Source organism: Homo sapiens, chromosome 1 (genome assembly GCF_000001405.40).
Source record: "Homo sapiens chromosome 1, GRCh38.p14 Primary Assembly".
In the NCBI taxonomy this organism is placed as follows: Eukaryota; Metazoa; Chordata; class Mammalia; order Primates; family Hominidae; genus Homo; species Homo sapiens.
The window spans coordinates 183,685,056-183,704,813 of record NC_000001.11 but is presented as its reverse complement, the minus strand read 5'-3'; the positions used below and the strand labels follow the sequence as shown (position 1 = coordinate 183,704,813).

Here is a 19,758-nt window from a genome sequence, read left to right as displayed (position 1 = left end):
ACAGTTTATTCAACCCATAACATCAAAGACATGCTAGCTCACTGCAGTGTACTAAGTCTCATCTCTGCCCAACAGCTCCTCCAACTCTATGCTCTATTCATAGAAACTCCCCACATCACCATGCTAACCAGCTCCTGTCTAAACCTGGCTACACTCTTACCTGAAGCTACAACCACCCAAGACCCTACGCACTCCTGTGTGAACACTGTTCAAACATTTCTTATACATTTTCCAAACCTAACAGACCAACACCTTCCAGATGCCTCCTTTACTTGGTTTGTAGATGGCAGCTCCTTCCTACATCAAGGACACCAACATGCTGGCTATTTTATAGTGTCACCCCCCACACACTATTGAAGCCAATATGCTCCCTCTAAGAACCACCTCCCAAAAAGCTGAACTCATTGCCCTCACTCAAGCTCTCACTCTAGCAGCCAGACAACAGATCAACATATATTCAAATTCTCATTATGCATTCCACATAGTGCACTCACACTCTTCCATCTGGAAAGAACAGCGTTTCCTAACTGCAAAAAACACTCCTGTCATACATGGCTCTCTCATCAACAAACTCCTTCAAGCTGCCAGGCTCCCACAGAAAGTTGCCATCATTCATTGCAGAGGCCACCAAACTCCATACGATCCTATAGCAGCTGGAAATGCACTAGCAGATTAGGTAGCCAAACAAGTACACCTACAACCTGTGCAAGGCCAGTTTTTGTCCCTGTCCTTGTTCTCTCCTCTTTAATCCTCGGAAGAAAAGGAGGACTTCTGAGCCCAAAACCTTCAAAAGCAAGGACCATGGTAGGTCAAGGAAGGGCGCTTCGTTCTTCCTCACTCTCAAACAATCCCTATCCCCCAAAGTCTCCACAACTTTTCCATGTCAGTTCCAAACCTCTCTTACAACTTCTCCGCCCTATTCTCACTTGTCCTCACCTTTCCAGCTGTGTTCAAGAAATCACCCAGTCCTGCTCTATCTGCCACTCAGTGTCACCCCAGGGCTCCCTCCAGCCACTGCCTTTTCCTACCCACCAAGCCCAGAGACAGGTACCTGGGCAAGATTGGCAAGTAGACTTCACTCACATCCCACCCGATAAACAGCTCCACTATCTTCTAGTCTTTGTCTGTACTTTCTCCAGGTGGGTAGTTCCAAACAACTTCAGAAGGTGAGGTTTGTGGTAAGTTTAATATCTCCAATTGTTGTCTTAACATAGACGATAATGGAAAAACAGTACTATAAATCGCTTCAAACATCAGAAAAGTAGCCCATGTACCAGTCCAAACCTGGAAGGGATGGGACCCAACAAACATTCTAGGAGGGTGGTTCTCTAATTTAAGAGGATTTAAAATGCTGGTAGGGACAGTAATCTTCATCACTGGGCTCCTCCTGTTTCTCCCCTGTATTATCCCACTAATAATAAAAGCTAATAAAAGTCTTGTTGAAACCATAGTTAACCACCAGACAATCCAGACGATGCTCCTGCTGCAACGACATGATGAATACCAACCCATCTCTCAAAAATACCCCCAAAATTAAGTTTTTGTTTCCAAGGTGGCCACACCACCCCCTATGTCACGCTTGAAGTAGTTATTGAGAAAGTCGTCGCTTTTCCCTTTTTCTATAACCAAATAGACAAGAATGAAAGACTTTCCCCAGGGCCTGGAAGCCGGCGGGGGGAGGTGGTGGTGAATAACTCCTCACTTCTGAGGCCTAGTCCCAAGGCACAAGACCACTTGTGCCAACAGTGTTTGTCAGCAAGATGGCAGAAGCAGGAAGAGAACTGGCCGGAAGACATGTACCCCCTGAAGACCGAGAGAGGTACTGCTGTCCAGGTACTGCATAGCAGTTACATCAGACTGAGATACTTCCTGTTTACAGGAGACTATAAAACTGCTACCCTGTCCGCATTTGGTGCTGATGCCCTTTTAAGCCTCAGCCCGTCTGCACCCAGGCACACATTAAAACAGCGTGTTGCTCCACACCGCCTTGTGTTGTTCGTTGGTGCGCTTTCAGGGTTCAAACCGATACAAGAGCCTTACAATTCTGACAATTCATCTGTGTGTTTATCCATGCTCCAATCCCCTGTCAGTTGGTCCAGCCTCGAATGCCTGCCCACATCAGTATGTGCCCCATGAGTCATAACACCAATCCATCTACTAGCTCTAGGATCCCCACTGTATGAAGGGACTGTCACAGACACAGACACGCCTGACAGCCAGTACAATGCCTCAGCCCAACCTTACTGGTAGCCTCATAGACAGCCATGTCACCACCTTCCATGTGAATCAAGACCTATGTCTTGAAATATGCAATGACTTTGCAACCAGCGTTCATCTGATGGATCTACTAGGTATAAAATGGCAGTCGCATGGGTCAAAGGAAGGAAATAAAGCCTTATTAACTTCATTTTAAAATAGAAGAAGGAATACATATTCTACTATTTATCAAAAAGTCCCATCACCACCTCCCACTTTGCTGGTAATCTGCAGTGGCAGTGTTGTCCTGAGTCATCTAGGTGAATTCAAGGCTGGAAGCAATGCAGTTGGGCGTAATTCACCATGACTCACAGAAAAAAAAAACTGTTCACTAGGGTCCAGAAACTTCTTGTTTGTTTCTCATATAGCATATAGATGACTTTGGCATACCAGAATTTGTAAACAATGGTCCTACTTTAGTGAGATAAAAAACAAACTTTCATTCTCTTCCTTGTTGCTTTCAAGTAATGTTCAGGCTTCTTTTGTGTCAGGTATCATAGCTAGAGTTGACATACCTAGAGTTTTGACAAAGTAGCCAAAGACAATAAGCAGAAAGCATTTTCTGCAAAATAAAGACATTATGCAAAAAACAATAAAATATTATTTTATTTTATTTTTTTCGAGATGGAGTCTTGGTCTGTCACCCAGGCTGGAGTGCAATGGTGCAATCTCAGCTCACTGCATCCTCTGCCTCCCAGGTTCAAGCAATTCTCTTGCCTCAGCCTCCCGAGTAGCTGGGATTACAGGTGGCTGCCACTATGCCCGGCTAATTTTTCTATTTTTAGTGGAGATGGGGTTTCACCACATTGGCCAGGCTAGTCTCGAACTCCTGACCTTGTGATCTGCCTGTCTTGGCCTCCCAAACTGCTGGGATTACAGGCATGAGCCACTGCACCCGGCCAATAAAATATTATTTTAAAAAAGAAAAATGGAAAAATTAAGAGCCTAACATTATTGAAGGCAGTGGAGGGTGGGGTGGGATTTTGGGTAGAGGTTGTTCCCTATTTCACTTCCCATTGAATTCCATCCATTTAATAAAACTGGTTGCACAAAAGATTGAGAGAGGACTTCAAGCCTTTCTTGATAGACCATACACCTCTGTCCTACTCTACCTCTCCATTCCCATCAGTCATACAATCCGGGGTAGGGAAATGGAACACACCTCCTATTCTCTGTCATCAGTACCTTGAAAATGAGGGTTTAGACTAATAACCAGGCAATCTCCAAGGTCAGTTCCAGACCAGCTCTGAAATTAAATTACCTTAAGGCTTCAGAGAACTAAAAACCATTCTTTCATCAAATGGTTGGAAGTCCCTGGGACAGTGGATTGTTATTCCCCAAAACCAAAACCTAGGATCTATCCTATCAACAAATCTGTGTGTGATCTCAAGGGCAACAATTGATCAATCTAAATCTCAATTTCCCCATCTGTTGCAAAAGATTCTTTAATCTTGCAGCCATAAAAAAGAATGAATTCATGTCCTTTGCAGGGACATGGATGAAGCTGGAAGCCATCATTCTCAGCAAACTAACATAGGAACAGAAAACGAAACACCACATGTTCTCACTCATAAGTGGGAGTTGATCAATGAAAACACATGGACACAGGGAGCGGAACATCACACACCGGGGCCTGTCAGGGGCTCAGGGGGAAGGAAAGGGAGAGCATTAGGACAAATATCTAATGTATGTGGGGCTTAAAACCTAGATGACAGGCCAGGCACGGTGGCTCAAGCCTGTAATCCCAGCACTTTGGAAGGCCGAGGTGGGCGGATCACAAGGTCAGGAGTTCAAGACCAGTCTGACCAACATGGTGAAACCCCGTCTCTTCTAAAAATACAAAAATTAGCCAAGTGTGGTGGTGTGCACCTGTAATCCCAGCAACTCAGGAGGCTGAGGCAGGAGAATCACTTGAACCCGGGAGGCAGAGGTTGCAGTGAGCCGAGATCACACCACTGCACTCCAGCATGGGTGACAGAGTGAGACTCTGCCAAAAAAAAAAAACAAACCTAGATGACAGGTTGATAGATGCAGCAAACCACCATGGAACACGTATACCTATGTAACAAAACTGCACATTCTGCACATGTATCCCAGAACTTAAAGTCAAATTAAAAAAAAAAAAAAGATTATTGAAACCTGCTTTCTGTCCATTTTTCTGAGACACAGGAAGACGTCATGTGAGATCCCATATTTATGATACTATACAGATGCTCCTGGAATAATACTACAAAGTTGAAATCCAACCATTATGTTTCCCTCAGAGACTGGATCCAGTGCTACCAACTCAACAAAGCTACTATCATCAGCCTACAATTCCTTTCTTCCCATAAAACCACTCATCATAATTGAAGTGGCTAGTGGTGCAGTATGGCTTTTTATGGGACTTAAATGGGTGGGCAATTCCCTATTACTTTGTCAGGTCTGAGCAGGTTGAGGGTAGGAGTGGGAAGAGGGATTAGAACTTAAAATCAGTCTGGTCACAGCCACTAGTATACTCCCATGCAATACGGGAAGGCTTGGTCTGGCAGGCAAAACACCACATCTGATATACAATGGTCCAGTCAGCAACAGCAAAAACAAACAAAATGAGGTGTCATTGCACAACATAACATCAGAAAATTGTGAGGTAGACACTCCTAGGAAGGTCAGGAATGCAGATCATAAGCTTCGAGGAAGTCTGTCAACAGATTGTAGAACCCAGACTTCAAGCTGGAATTTGGGCTTGAAGAATGAGGAAGGGGCTGATGAAAAGGTGGGTAAACAAGAACCAAGACAGTCAGAGGCTGGTTATTTAAAAGAGAGTACAAGGGACAGAGTATTAGAACAAAGCAAACATTGAAACATTCCAATCAGGGCTAAAAGGCAGGGGCAGGCCAGCAGCAGCGAGGGAAATAAATCAGAGGCAGCCTGCACATACGATTGATTTAGTGATCTAGTGGCTCTAGCTGGGGATAGAAGGGATCCTGGATAAAGAAAACCAGACTAGGCCTAACCTGCATATTTATTAGATTGATCAGAATCTTCAGACAATAGGATAATATGAAAATCAAGGAATCTTTCACATTAAATTTCATCACTTGCTCCACTCTAAATAGACTGATTATACAGAAAGATGGGCTCTCTAGAACATTCCTTAGAGGACTCTGTAAGGTGGGCATAGAGATAAAGATGGAGTTAAAGTCCAAGTCTACGACCTGGAGCAATTTTGGAACAAGCCTTGATGTAGGACTGTAGATGGGACTACAATATAGTTTCAAGGATGCTTACTCAGTCTGGACCAGTAGTATTTAAATGGTAAAAATGAATTTAAAAACATTGTTCAGGGTAAGTTACATCAACACATGTGAAGGAAACACACTGGGTGAACCCTATTACCTCCTGAGCTACTGACCCCACAGTGAATGTGTTAAATGACCAGGCTTCCCTGCCTCTGAAATATTGGTACCATTGTCAGATATCACAGCTCACAGCACCCAAGACTGGGCATCCAACATATGTGATGAATAAGACAGCTAAAATCTTTATAATTCAACTAAATGAGAGTATGGATGTTATAGTTCTTCCTATTCTCCATTTTTGTACACTTTGTTCCTGTGGCCAAACCTAAGGGAGTTTATAGCCTTGAAAAACACTCAATACATACATCAAAACAGAGGGAGATATTTAAATGACTTTGAACATACCATGAAGTAACTCATTCACAACGTGACCAAGTCTACAAATGATGAGTAAGCCATAGGAAAGCAACTGAAAATGACTTATAAGAAAAGCAATTGAAAAAAAGTATTCAAGTAGTTCCTATAAGCTTCAGAAACAAGTATTAGGAGGTAACAAAATGGCAGCATCTCTTAAAACTATATTGGATAATGTCATGTTAAGTGTTAACTATATTAGAGTGCTGTCTTTAAGTTGTAGCATTTCAAAATAATGTGTAATAATTTTGGCAATGAGATCAGAAATTTACTTTTTGTATCAAAGTATTTTTATGTGTTCCAAGGCAAGGCACTGGTGCAAATATTTCAGATGAGACAAAGATTTTTGTTTTGTATTGCTGCTAAAGGTTCTCTCAAGTTCACTCAAACATAGCATGGTTGTTCTATTTTAGGCATTGTATCAAAGTATAGGAAAACAGAAATCATTTCCTGTTTCTAAAAGGGAAGAGAATTAATGCAGGAAATTCTTTACAAAGGTGACCAAGGAATTGAGTCCTAAACAGGGAAGAGTGAATAAGCCAGGGACTAGCAACAGTTGGAAGCCACTACCACTCCTAGACCAGAGAGAAAAGGAAAAAGGGGTGTTACAGAACGCAAGGGCTGAGCCCACCAGGGTGTGCTGGTCAATGTTTAACAAATTGGTTCTCTGTCAGTGGAAAGCCAGGATTTGGCCTATTTTAAGTCATCAATGTGATATTGATGGAGTTGGAAAAACATAAACGTGGAGTTGAAAAAAATAAACAAAATTGTCCCTCATGAACTGGTGTGAGCTGGCTCACACACTAGGATGGAATCATTTGACAGAAGCTGTGGCCATGGCAGGAAGCTGACAGCAGCAGACAAGGAGGGGAAAATACCCTGGCTTCTCCAAGCTGCTTCTCATCATGCATTACTGCCTGCAATTAGGTCAACACAGACAGAAAGATGCCCAACCAAGAGAAATGCAACCTGCAGGGACCAGCCCCGCTACAACTCACACAGAGTACAGTGGGGAAGGGAGAGAACTGAGATACTTGGAATCCTACTGATATTTTCAATATACTCAATTAGATTAACCTAGCAATGTAGGGTTGAAATGCATGATACCTACATCTGCAGATGAAGTACCAGCACGCAACTAAAAATTCAAATTTGGCCTCAGCATACAAAACCAATGACAGTTTTTAACCTTTGAGTAAATATTTAGCAGGAGTGGGCACTGAGGTATCTGGATTGACTATCTCATGATGTTACAACGTGCATTTAAGAAGCATTTTGTGCAATACAAGGAGAATTTAAAATGATTAAAATTCCATTAATCACATTTCAAATTTCAAATTAAACGCTCACCATGCATTCAATTCATTCAGGAACCATTCCTCCGTGCAAACTGTTCCAAACACTTGGCATATAGTAGTGGACAAGATGGACAAAATCTCTGCCCTTGAGGAAACTGCACACTAGTAGAAAAGGAAGACAATAAAAATAAATAAGCAAACCATGTAAAATATTAGAAAATAATAAACACAATAGGGAGAAATAAGCAATGGAATGGGGATAGTGAGTGATTAGGGCCGTTACAATTTTTAAAAGGTTGGGAGGGAAAGGCCTCACTGATAAGGTATCATCTAAGCAAAGACTTGAAAGAAATGAGCAGTAAGCCATGGGGGTTTGGGGCGGGAGCAGGGGAAAGTGCCCTGGGTGGAAGTTGCTCAATGTATTGTAAGAACAGCAAAAAGACTGCAGCAGTCAGGAAAGAGGCACTACAGATCACGTAGGCCATTGTAAGGTTTCCAGCTTTTACCATACATATTGTAATTGGGAGCTACTGGAGAATTTTGAGCAAAGGACTGGATCAATTTGGCTGCTGTGTTTGAAATAGACTGTAGAGGTCCAACAATGAAAGCAGGGAGGCCAATTAGGAGGCAACTAGAATAGTTCAAGCTCTAGAGAATGATGTGGCTTAGGTCAGGGTGGTAGAAGTAAAGGTGGCAAGAATTGGTCAGATTCTGGATGTATTTGAAACATAGGTACAGTAGGATTTGCCAAAGGATTGGATGAAAGATGTGAGAGAAAGACCAGAAGTTCAGGGATGACTAAAATTTGGGGCCTGAGAGATGACAACTCTGAGTGGAACAGTTTTTGGGGGAAAGATCGGGTTTTGTTTTTGAACATGAGAAGTTTGAGATGTCAGATATTTACAAGAGGTTGCATCAAATTGGAGAGAACATTATCTTGTGTTCAGATAGAGGCCTGGGCTGGAGATATAAATTTGGGAGTTGTCAATATATAGATGGAGTTAAGGTCATGAAAATGCATCAGATGCCTAATGTTTGTGGATTGAGGCTGGCAACCTTTGTCAACTGAGGTTATGTGAAGAAACATTAAGACAAAGCCCTAAGGCACCCATTGTATGTGATGGATTAACTTCCTTCCTATGCACCTAGAACTAGTTATTTTCCTTGGAAAAAGTTGAGAAAATATTCTCTGGAATCATTTTTTGTGTCCTTGGTTCAGATGAGAAACCATGGTTGAAAAGGACTGATAGGGAGTTTGAGATAGTCAGGACAATGACGGGGGCACAGAAAGGAAGCTGAGAAGTGGCCTTTGAGATGGGAAGAAAGCCAGGAGAGCGCGAGCCTTGGAGAGTAAGTGGAGTGATCAAGAGTGTCAAATGCTGATGATGGGTCCCATGAAGTGAGAACTGAGAATTTATGGACAGATTTGGCTACACAGAGGTCTAGGGACCTTGACAAATGCTGTTTCAGAGGATGGTAATTGGACTGGGCTTAGGAGAGAAGAGGAAAAATGAATATTTTCAGGTATAGTTAGATAGTGATTCAAAGTGGGTCCAAAACTACCTGTTAATAATTTCTCAAGTGTCTGATTCAATCAGATTGAATAATATTTTCAGTAGGCTTAGCTTTTAAGAAAATTATACCTATTTTCAAGAATTTATCTGTAAATCAGTTTTTTTTTTCAGTGGGGGACAACCGAACAAAACTTTAAAATATATTAGATATTAAGGCTCCAACTCACATCTACAAATCTAGATTTCAAATACTTGTGTTCATAAATAGCTTCGTTAATGTTACTGGTTAATTTGAAGATAAGTAGTTATTAGAAACCTGAACTTGTGAAATAAATTCATGCTAAAATAGAACTTGTAGCTTTAACATATTGAACTTTTACTTAAGTTTCATTTGCAGAATATTTAAAAATCACTGACACAATCTAGTCATTTCTATTATTTTAAACTTCCTTTTAAACACATTACATATGTGGAGAGCTTCAACCACTTGAAAGTTGGTGGCTGACAGTATAAAATATACATTCCATAGCCCTCATGATCCACTAATCTGTTCAAATAATTTGTACAAATCACATAAATTCTCTGAAACCTGGTTTCTTTTTCTGTAGAACAGGAATCATAATACTGGAAGCATTCATTAAAAATGCTTTACGAGTCTAGCAAGTACAGTCTCTCATTAGTGATAGTAAGTGACATATTAACCCTGGACTAACTAGACCAATTAGAAAATGTGAGATGTTGGCTGGCTTAGGCAGATGGCCCAGCTGACTTAGGTGAATGGAACAAAAAAGAATCTAAAATAATAGAAGGTGGAAATATAATGTGCAGAGCTCCTATCAAGGACTTTTTGGCATCCTCGCTGTCAAGCCGATGCTTTCCTGGAAGCTTTTGGGGGCCACAGACATGATGTCATATCTGAAAGAGCAGACTCCACACATGAACTGTGTCATACACACCTTCACTTACATGGCTTCAGCTCTTTTCCACTTAGATCATCCAAGAGCTTTAGTGATTGGAGCATGGATACTTGAGATTCTGTGGACTCCTTTGCTTTTCACTTTCAAGGCTTTCTGAAAACAGCTGCAGAAATACCAAGACCTTTGGAAAAGGCTGATCTTACTACATTTTCAGCCAGACTGCAAGCTGAGAGAAGTGGAAATATTACCAGCCTGTTTTCCTGAAATCCCTGTCAGAGCTGCTCCAGCAATTTCTTGGCTTTCCATATGACCTCAAAACAGGACAATCTCATTTTCCAAATCCATCTGCTTTTTCAGCTTTACTTCTAGCCTTACATTTAAATATGCAATTAAGTCAGGCACAATAGCCCCACAGTCCCAGTAGTACCCAGATCTGCAAATCTGAGTTATCATGACCATAGAACATATAAATCAGATGGTAAACTCCAATCACAAATCCTCTACCCAATGGTTCAACTCCAAGAAATCCATTACCACCAGCAACATACTGCAGTATATTTTCAGACAAGCTAAAAGACAAATGCTTTATGTTGAAATGATCTATAGCAAGGGTTGTGACTAGGGTTGGCAAATGTCAAGAATTTCAGTTAATATTATCTCATAGCTAGAGATTTCAAATCCAGAATAACATAGAGGAAGGACTGAAAGAAAAAATGGTCATCAATGTTTAATGTAAAGAATATGGGTCAAGAACTTCAAACTAATCTTTCATTCACTCAGTCTGGCATTAGCAGATTCAGGAAGCTGTTGTAAACAAGTAGCTCTGCACAGCCCACTCCTGCCTGTGTGGAACTACACACACTAGCCACAGCTCAACACACCGCACTCTCCTGGGGACTGCTGCATCCAAGAACTCATGCAGCCAGTCCTCTTGGAAATAAAAGTTAACCTTTCCCTTCCCAAGAGACATAAAATTCTCTCTGATAGTCCCTCACTCAGAGCTGTTTTCTGGGCAAATGTCCACAGCAACACCCATTCAGAAAATCAGAAATCAGGTTGCCAAGTAAATGAGAAGTTAAAGAGACAATATTGAGAAAACAGGCCATGTTGTGCCATGCCATAGCAGCCCTTCACAATTTCTAGGAGACTGATTAAAATTTGGTTCAGGCCCAAGACACAAATATATTTTTTCAAAGGGACAGAGTAATCCTGGGAAGTCCAATCCAAAGAAGACTAAAGGGTCAAGGTCAACTTAAAGTCTATTCCAAGGGTCCTCTGATCAGTCTGGACTGCATCCAACTTCTGGTGCCTGTCTCAATTCTAACTCAAAGCAGGTGCTCAGCTCCAGAACAACACTTTACTGCCTGAAACAGGAAGGCCTACAGGTAGTGTAGGCACTACACAAGTGTATTCTGGTAAGCAGTGAGGCTTCACTTTTGGTTTTATTCTGGCTCAACTGTCCACCCTCAGGATTGGAGCAGAGCTAGACCAGCTTCTCATCCTCCCTTCATGTCCCTTCCACCAGTAGGCACTTGTGACCAAAAAAAAAAAAAGTAATCTAGAATGCCACTTCACCATGTCAGATAGCATGAACTTAAGAAAGAAAGAGAGTAAGGAGGGGAGGAATGATCGAAAGAAAGAGAAGAGAGGGAGGAAAGAAGAAAGGAAGGAAGACAGGTCTATTTTTGAAAGCAAGATAAAAGAAGAACTAGGGGACCAAATCATTTTCAGCTTCCAGGTAAAATGTGCCTTCCACCAACCTAAGACATTCAGAAACAGGCAAATGGCATACTTTTAGGACTCTGGCTTTCCTATAGCCTTCTAGGACTGTTAGGATTTACTTTGTTCTGTTGTGTATATTTGATATATTAAACATTTCTGGCTGGGCACGGTGGCTCATGCCTGTAATCCCAGCACTTTGGGAGGCCGAGGTGGGCAGATCACAAGGTCAGGAGACTGAGACCATCCTGGCTAACACAGTGAAATCCCGTCTCTACTAAAAACACAAAAAATTAGCCGGGTGTGGTGGCACACGCCTGCAGTCCCAGCTACTCAGTAGGCTGGGGCAGAAGAATTGCTTGAACCTCGGAGGCAGAGGTTGCAGTGAGCTGAGATCGTGCCACTGCACTCCAGCCTGGGTGACAGAGCGAGACTCCATCTCAAAAAAAAAAAAAAATTTTTTTTATCTCCCTGCTAGCATTTTTTGCTTTTTAAAAACAATTATCGTATAGTTAAATGGACTTTTGGGGCAGATGATTCTATGAATTTTAATGCATATAGATGTGTGTAAACACCACCGCTATCAGGATCCAGAACAGTTCCATGACCCCAAGAAACTTCCTGTTGCTACCCCTTTATAGTCACTGCTCCCACCCTAGCTGCAACCACTGATCTGTTCTTCATAAATAGATTGTTGTTTGTTCCATATTCCCTTCATAATGCTATTGTTTATAGAGTGAGAGTTAAGCATCTTGTTACTATAATTGTTTTAACTAATTATAGCAAAATGTATTCAAAATAAAAGTAAATTTATGTTAATAAGCACGAAACTATAAAAGGTGAACTACCTGAACCATGACTTTTAATTCCAGCCAAAGTCAACCTGGGACTGGGCAACCTAGAAAACTCAATCCTGTTTACAAAGGCCTGGACCTTCTCTCCTTCCCCAGAGAAGCTTCATTCACCCTGCTCCTGAATGCCCTTTAATCAGCCTCATTTTCAGAACTGATGATGTATATGGTTCATCCAGTCATGACCCACTGCTCCCCATTGGGAATGGATTGCACTGTCTCCTGTGCACTAGCCACTTCTGGATCCTCCAAGTAATTTGTTCACTAGGGCCAACCTCCAGCCTTCGGCCCCAAGACTTAGGAATGGCCATGAGGCCAATACACTTTCTCATTCCAACCTCGTCCCTAGCAAGTGGCAAGTTCTGAAGATACTACATTCCTCAGCTTGCAATACAATAATCTGAAATATCTCCATATATGTATCTGCCACATATATGACTTTATAGAAAATATAAGATATTAAGAACTCAAAAAGTATATTACACAGAATAATGTAATAATATATATATTAAAATATATATTAAGATTCTCATATTCATATATACATAAATATATGTTACCAGATTCAATAAATAAGATTAGATCACCACAGAAGTGATAATACATTTTGAACATTCACTGAAGTGGCCCTTTATGTTGAATCATTAAGAGTTGAATAGTCTATTTTTCATAAAATTGTATGATCTGAGCATTTTTCTTAATGCTTGACTTTAAGGCTATTAAAATTCAACATTATTAAATTAACATTAGTTATGCATATTTCAGGTTTATAAATCAAAAATGCACAAGTTTCCAGTGTCAACAAATTTCTCAGGTCCTCCAATTAAACTGAATTCTATGTAAAAATATGGCTTACTAATGTTTAAGATATAATTGAGGTTTATATACCTATTCATTCTCTCAACATTACTATCTTCTTTAACTATTATCCAATTAATTACTCTCCTAAAGATAGAATTATGGGAAAATCCCTTTTGTATTATTCGTTTGCATAAACTTAACAACTTTTTTGTTCCTCAATTACTGGGCTCTTATCAATTACATAAACCAATAATATGAAACTCTTTTTTATTGCAATCCTTTTTGGAACAAGCCAGGAAACAAAGGAACAGCTTATTTTTTCATAGATCTCTTTCCTTCCTCCTTAACTCACAATTGCAACATGATAGAGCTATCACTTCAGGGCATGTGATAGCGTAACACTCACCCAGAAGTAGAAATCCATCACTCCTATCTCTGATATATTAGTATGTTAACCTCTAGTTGGCAATGGCCCAAAGAGGGGCTCCAATCCAAATGTTTTCTATACAAACTGAGCATCCAATATTAAAAGAATCCGCATCTATGGCAAATAACCAAGTCATGTTCATTTTATTCAGTTTTTATGATGAAATGCAGATTTTTCATTATGAGGCAAATCCCTACATTCAAAAACCTAAATAGAATAATCCTTAAAAAATAATGTTTGCTGGTTAAAGCACTAACAATTTTTATTTTTATTTTTTATTTTTATTTTTTAAAGTTCCAAAATTTAATTTATACTTTAATCTACAAATCCAAAAATCTCAGTGAACCCCAATCAGGATATATACAACATAAACCTCAATTAGGCATATCATGTCAATGACAAAAGCATAAGTTGTTCAAGAAGTGATCTTAACATGACTTGCTTTCCATTAAAATAACTTGAGTCACTACTTGATGTCATAAACTTCAAATATGCTAACGTGCTAAGTATAAAAAGCAAAACTATTAACAAGTAGAAGAAAAATCAGTGGGAGAATGGGCATACTTTTACATGATCTGGTTGAAATACATTCTTTTTTTTTTTTATAAGTACCTCATCTTTCTAGCACTAACAATTTTTAAAAATTATTTCTGCCTTTGAATTAAGTATATTTTCATTTGGGCAACAATGGGATACATTTTCATTCACTTTTAGTTCAGTAGTTTCTCTCAAACAGGCAGTGTAGCCTCCATCGCTTAGATGATCTCTTTTGACAATCAGCTAAAGATACAGCATGTTAGTGATACACTTTCAGGGAAAGATCATTTAATAAATATTGATACCTATATTGTTAGCCTGAATCTCCCTCCTCCCTTCACCTCCCTACCCCATCGAATTCTTCCTTTTTCCCTTTCTTTAAGACTTCATGAAAAGATAAATAATGATAATGCTACCTATTCGTGATTACAACTACAAAACGTAACATTCTTTTAAAATCTGCATCTACTTCTTTCAAAGCTGAGAATTCTCCCTGGAAAACTGCTCATATAAACATACATACAACATTTTGCAAATAATTCCAGGGGTTCAAAGCATCTCTAAAATCCATCCATAGGTGTAGAAAGTGTCTGTGGTCTCCCAGAGTAAACACTGCTCCACAAGCCAATTCCCACACAGCCACCCATTCAACTCCCACCTAGCCCAAGGCTTGCCACTTCATCAGCCCTTCCTTCAGTCAATACTGCTGAGCCCAAATTAACTTGTGGCTCCTCATGAAGCCTTTCCAAGCTCCTTCAACTCATGTGGGTTTCTAACTTTTCTAACTTCCTCATAGACACACAGTCAAGTCTTACAACTTAGCCTTCAATTTCCCTCTAGATGATTCATACAGGTAAATTAGGCCCTTAAACCTAACTGGTAAACCCCTGAAAGCAGATACAATGTACCTCACATCTCTGCAGTTTCCCCCACAGCACCTGGCACAGTGCCAGAAGCTGAATGAATGTTTTTTATTGCATAATCAACCCATCCCTCTGTTCATCTTCTGGGTAGCCTCTGTCCCACCACCCCTACTTGCCCCACAAGGATGAGGCCAGGAATCACAACTTTATGAGTTGTATCTATGTTATGCAGTGATCAGGAGCTATCACTCACTTTTTTATTTATTCACTCAGCAGACATTTATTAAGTTCTTACTATATGTCAAGCACTAAGGTAGGTACTGGAAATACAAAAGCTACAGAAATGTAAGCAAATTATTGATGATGTGTTACATGCAATAACAGAGTTACATACAAGGCAGCAATAGAAAGGAGCAACTATCTATCTAGAAATGTTAGTGAAGTCATAGTGGAGAACAGGGTGCTTGAAATAGATGCTAAAAAAAATTGGTATGAATTTAAGCAAATGACCCAGGATGGGAAACACATCCAGGAGAGAAACAGCAAATGCAAAGACACAAATGCATGAAGATAAAATGTCTCTTATCCTCTCTTCACCTTCCCTGGTCAGCCCTGGCATGAGCCTCCATTTCAGTAAGGCCAATTCAGTTCACCTTTAGGATTATTTACATGAACTAAGTAATGGGAATATATATTTTTTAATTTACTAAGATGCACTGCCTAGCAAATATGAATTTCAAAATACTAAATAAATTTAGTATTGTGGGTTTGGAAATCCAATCCAAATCCAAATTATGGGTTTGGAAAGAAATACACGTGGCTGACTCAACATTCATTTTATTGGGTTATATATTTTTATAGAGAATATTTTTAATACAATTTTAATTTTAATGATCTGTCTGCCTTTAAGGGATAAAATAACATCAAGAAAAATTGCTGTAAAGTTATTTATTCAATGTTTCCATTCCTGTGTCATTTACCTCTCCAAGTGAATTTCAGTTTCTCTGTCTGCTGGCTTCGTAAACCTCTCTTTGGACTTTAACAACTATGGAATCATTTTTACTGTGAAGTTTAATATCCTGCTTTAAAATCCAAATATGATTCACATATTGCATCTTCAATATTTCTAAAGCAAAATGGTCTGCTTGGAAATTTTTTTAAAATGACTTTTCTCCAGAATACTTAAAAACATACCTTCCAATATCTGGAAAGGGGACTTATTTAAATACATGCATAATACTGTTTTCCTGCCTTTTATTTTAAGAAGACAAATTAATAATACTGCTGAACTAATTTTAACAAATACTAATGGTATTAAAATGCATCAATAGTCTGGCTTAAAAAAAAGTTGAAAAAATGTCAAGAATAAATGGTTGCAGAGGCGTCAGTCTTGGCACTTAATACTTTTTCAGAGACCTGAGCCTGTAATTGCTTTTAAAGACATGAAAGTCCTTGCTGTCTCTCTCTCTCTCTCTCTCTTCAGTAGATCCAGAGATTTCATTTTGAGAGCCTGGAGGATGCTCCAAAATTTATAATAAAGACATAAAGCCTCACTGATGGTGCTATATAAAAGGTGTTTTTACTGTTGTTAATCTCAGATACACATAAGCAAGCAAAAATTTCCCAAGGAAGTAATTTAAAACTATTTAGAGCTGTTTCATGAATCTCTGAGTTCAGATCTTGGCATCTTTGTAGCCATTGGAGTTCTGGGACCACAAAGTTGAAAACATCAAGAGAATGAAGCCCTGGATCCTCATACTAGAATGGTGAGATAATGATAATCAGGATAATATATTACACTTGTATTGTGCTTTATAATTGTAAGAATTATTTCCCAAGATTCATCTCATGTGATCATCCTAAACCACCAACAGAAATAACAAGCCTAGATTTCAGAAGCAAGACATCCAAGGTCATGTGGCCAGCTAGTGGCAAGACTAGAATCAAAACCCAGATCTTGCTGACACAAAATACCTTTTCCATTACACTAGATATAGAATGACCAATCAATCTCTCTACCCACTCTTCCCTCACTTTGTTTTCCATTTCTTAAAAGAATCATTGATTTTTTAAAATATATAGTATTTCAGGATCCTCAAACCTTCATTTTAAGTTTCCAGTTTTAAAAATTTATTCATTGGCCCGGTATCGAGTTCCTCTTTATTCAAAGTTAGCCTTAGTGGAAGAAGGGCAGTCCAAAGCAAATAAAGATGTTTTGCATTCACTTCTCTTTGTTCCCTTTTACATCATTGTTGAAGCACATACTGAATACCTCTCTCAACCAGCAAAAGTTTCTTCCCAGTCATTTGTTGAGCCTTGCTTCTCTGAGAAAGCACTGTGATGGTTTCCTTTTCAGGTTTCCACAGAAAATCTCCCAAAAAGATCTCAGGGAGCATAAAATGCATTCAGCAAGGCCTAAGTGATACTGTATATCTAAGATAATAAGACTCTAATATCAATCTCAAGAACACATTATTAAATAAAAGTTTTTCAGTTCTTTCAACGCTATACAAAACAGCGCTGAGAAAACCAGCAAAGGAATAATTTTCCTGAATTCCCAACTACTGAACAAGCACCAGACTTCTTCTATTAATTAATTTGTTTGTTTACAGGTTCAACACGAAACCTACCTGCCAGCAGTGTTCTAGGTCTTGGGGATTCAGTGGTGACAAGATAAAAGTTTCTGCCTTGCAGAGCTTACATTCTAGAAGGAAAGTAAGACAGACAATAGATCCAAAAGCCAATAATACCAGATATTGTTAAATATAATGAAAAAAATAAAAAGGTAATAGAATAGCACATAATGGTGATGACAGACAGAGGGGAAGCAGGAAAACCAATTGGGATGTGATTATGTTAGCCTAGGTAAGAGATGAACTTATGTTAGGGAAACGTAGTTAGAATCAGCATGTGCTGATGGATTGATGTCACGCTTGAAGAAGAGAAAAACCAAAGGTTATTCCAAGGTTTGTGCTTAGGCAAATGGATAGCTAATGATGCCAATAGCTAAAATGGAGAAGTCTTTGGGAGAAAAAAGGTAGCGGTGAGGACATCAAGCATTCTCTTTATTGCCAAGTCAAGGTTTGAGATGGCACTGAGGCGGAGATGTATTTTTTTAAATTGCATATACAAGTCTGATGCTCAGGGGGGAAGGCAGGGCTAAAGATACAAATTTGAGAGTCATCTCAAATACAGATGGTATTTAAAGTCATGGGACCAGAAGAATTCACCTAGGTACAGGTATAATCAGAAGGGATTTAAATCGTGGCTAGTCACATGTTAGCTAACTTGGGCAAAGTCATTAAGCTTTCTACAACCTTTCTATGCATGGTTAATGTATATCTGAACATGCTAGGAAATCTGTATAGCACTACAGAGTGTTGTCATCCAGTGCCCAATAAATCCAACACTGCAGGAAGTGAGAAACAGCAAAACTAGGAATAAAAATCAAAATTTCCTATCAGGGTAATGAAATTCCCAGTTATCTTAGCAGACAAAAAAAACATATTGTCAGCAAATTTTCTGGAAGAAAGTGCCACTGAGGGAAATGAAGATGGGGTGCCCCTACCTCTGACCAACTGAAAAGAGAAAATATTTTTATTAATAAATGCAGCAACTGAAAATAATACACCAGACTGTAAATGGTGATTATTTCCAGGGGTTAAGTTTATCAGGAATGATTACTTTAATATCTGAACTTGCATCATGAACATATATTACTTTTATAATTTGAAAAAGAAAGTGACACAAAAGGGCAATAAAATAAAGAGGAATGACTTCTGAAAATAATGTTGATTCGGCATGACATATATAACTAATGAAAAAAATAGTAACCCATGAACTATTTTCAAGATGATCCAGTGTGAGACTTGGAATTACCAATGGATTACTAATACTGGTCTAGTTAGTGATTTGTGCTAAACTCTCTAAACTAATATGTGTTGATAACGTAAAAAGCAAAATATGAATTGAATAAATATTTTTGCAAGGTGCTGGGGATTTTAAATGTAATTATTCTAGAAACTACAATGGTCCCACGTATTTAACTATCACAGACTTGGAACTAATGAATAGGTAAACATTATTTTTTCCAGTTGGATTCATCAATATTTGTTAACTGTTGAAAAGAATTTTCAAAAGCAGCAGACAAGCTAAAGAACACAAAATTACTGTATTACCACATGTTAGGTCTGAAGGAAACAGGATTATTATCTGATCATATACTTGCCATGCTTTGACTTATCTATAGCTGCTTACCTTATTATGTTATAGATATATCCAATTTAACCTATAATACTAGGTTTTATTACACATTAGAGCTGCTGCTAGAGAAAATGTTTCATGTACTATAATCTTTTTGAAATTATAACTGTAGTTTTTAATATTACATACAGTAACATTTAATGTAATTGTATGTAACATTAAAAGCTCAACATTAAAAGGTCTTGTAGAAAACTGTAGTCTTTGCCACATTTGTAAAGGAAGAACCTCCTCTGATTATATAAACCCAAAGTCTTAAAATGGTGAGAAATACCTTTTACATTCTATGTAAATCACTGAGCATAGAGTAGAATTTCTTAGTCTCCCAGATCCCATGCGGGTGCCTCTAATTGTAATTCAAGGTATTTACCACAAGATGGCACTGCTGATCCTATTCATAACCAGGCTGCTGGCGTTTCCTTTCCATGTTTCACACTAAGCTTAAGAATCTTTGTTATTAGCAAAATTAAAGTTCTTGAGTTAAAGAACGTTTAAGCATTTTAAATAGGAAAAAAAAAGCCAATGTAGAATGTTCTGTACTGTATACATTTCTCCAATTTCCATTACTCTAAATCAAGTGGTCAAGATAAAGTTTTAAATATATAACTACATATAAAAAT

At 38.9% G+C, this 19,758-nt stretch overlaps 1 protein-coding gene across 10 annotated transcripts in view; it reads right to left on the bottom strand.

Moving 5' to 3' along the window:
- Nucleotides 1-19,758, bottom strand: part of RGL1 (ral guanine nucleotide dissociation stimulator like 1) — a 292,424-nt gene that overhangs the window by 223,719 nt on the left and 48,947 nt on the right. For 4 of the 10 annotated variants that reach the window (XM_011509339.4, XM_047415682.1, NM_001297669.3 and 1 more), the window contains exon 2: nucleotides 7,302-7,411. The exons of 5 other annotated variants lie outside the window; for them this stretch is intronic. The gene's annotated coding sequence lies outside the window, so the exon portion shown is untranslated. Of the gene's footprint in view, nucleotides 1-7,301; nucleotides 7,412-9,719; nucleotides 9,839-19,758 lie in introns of those variants that run through there. One more of the 10 variants, XM_047415677.1, reaches the window with a different exon arrangement.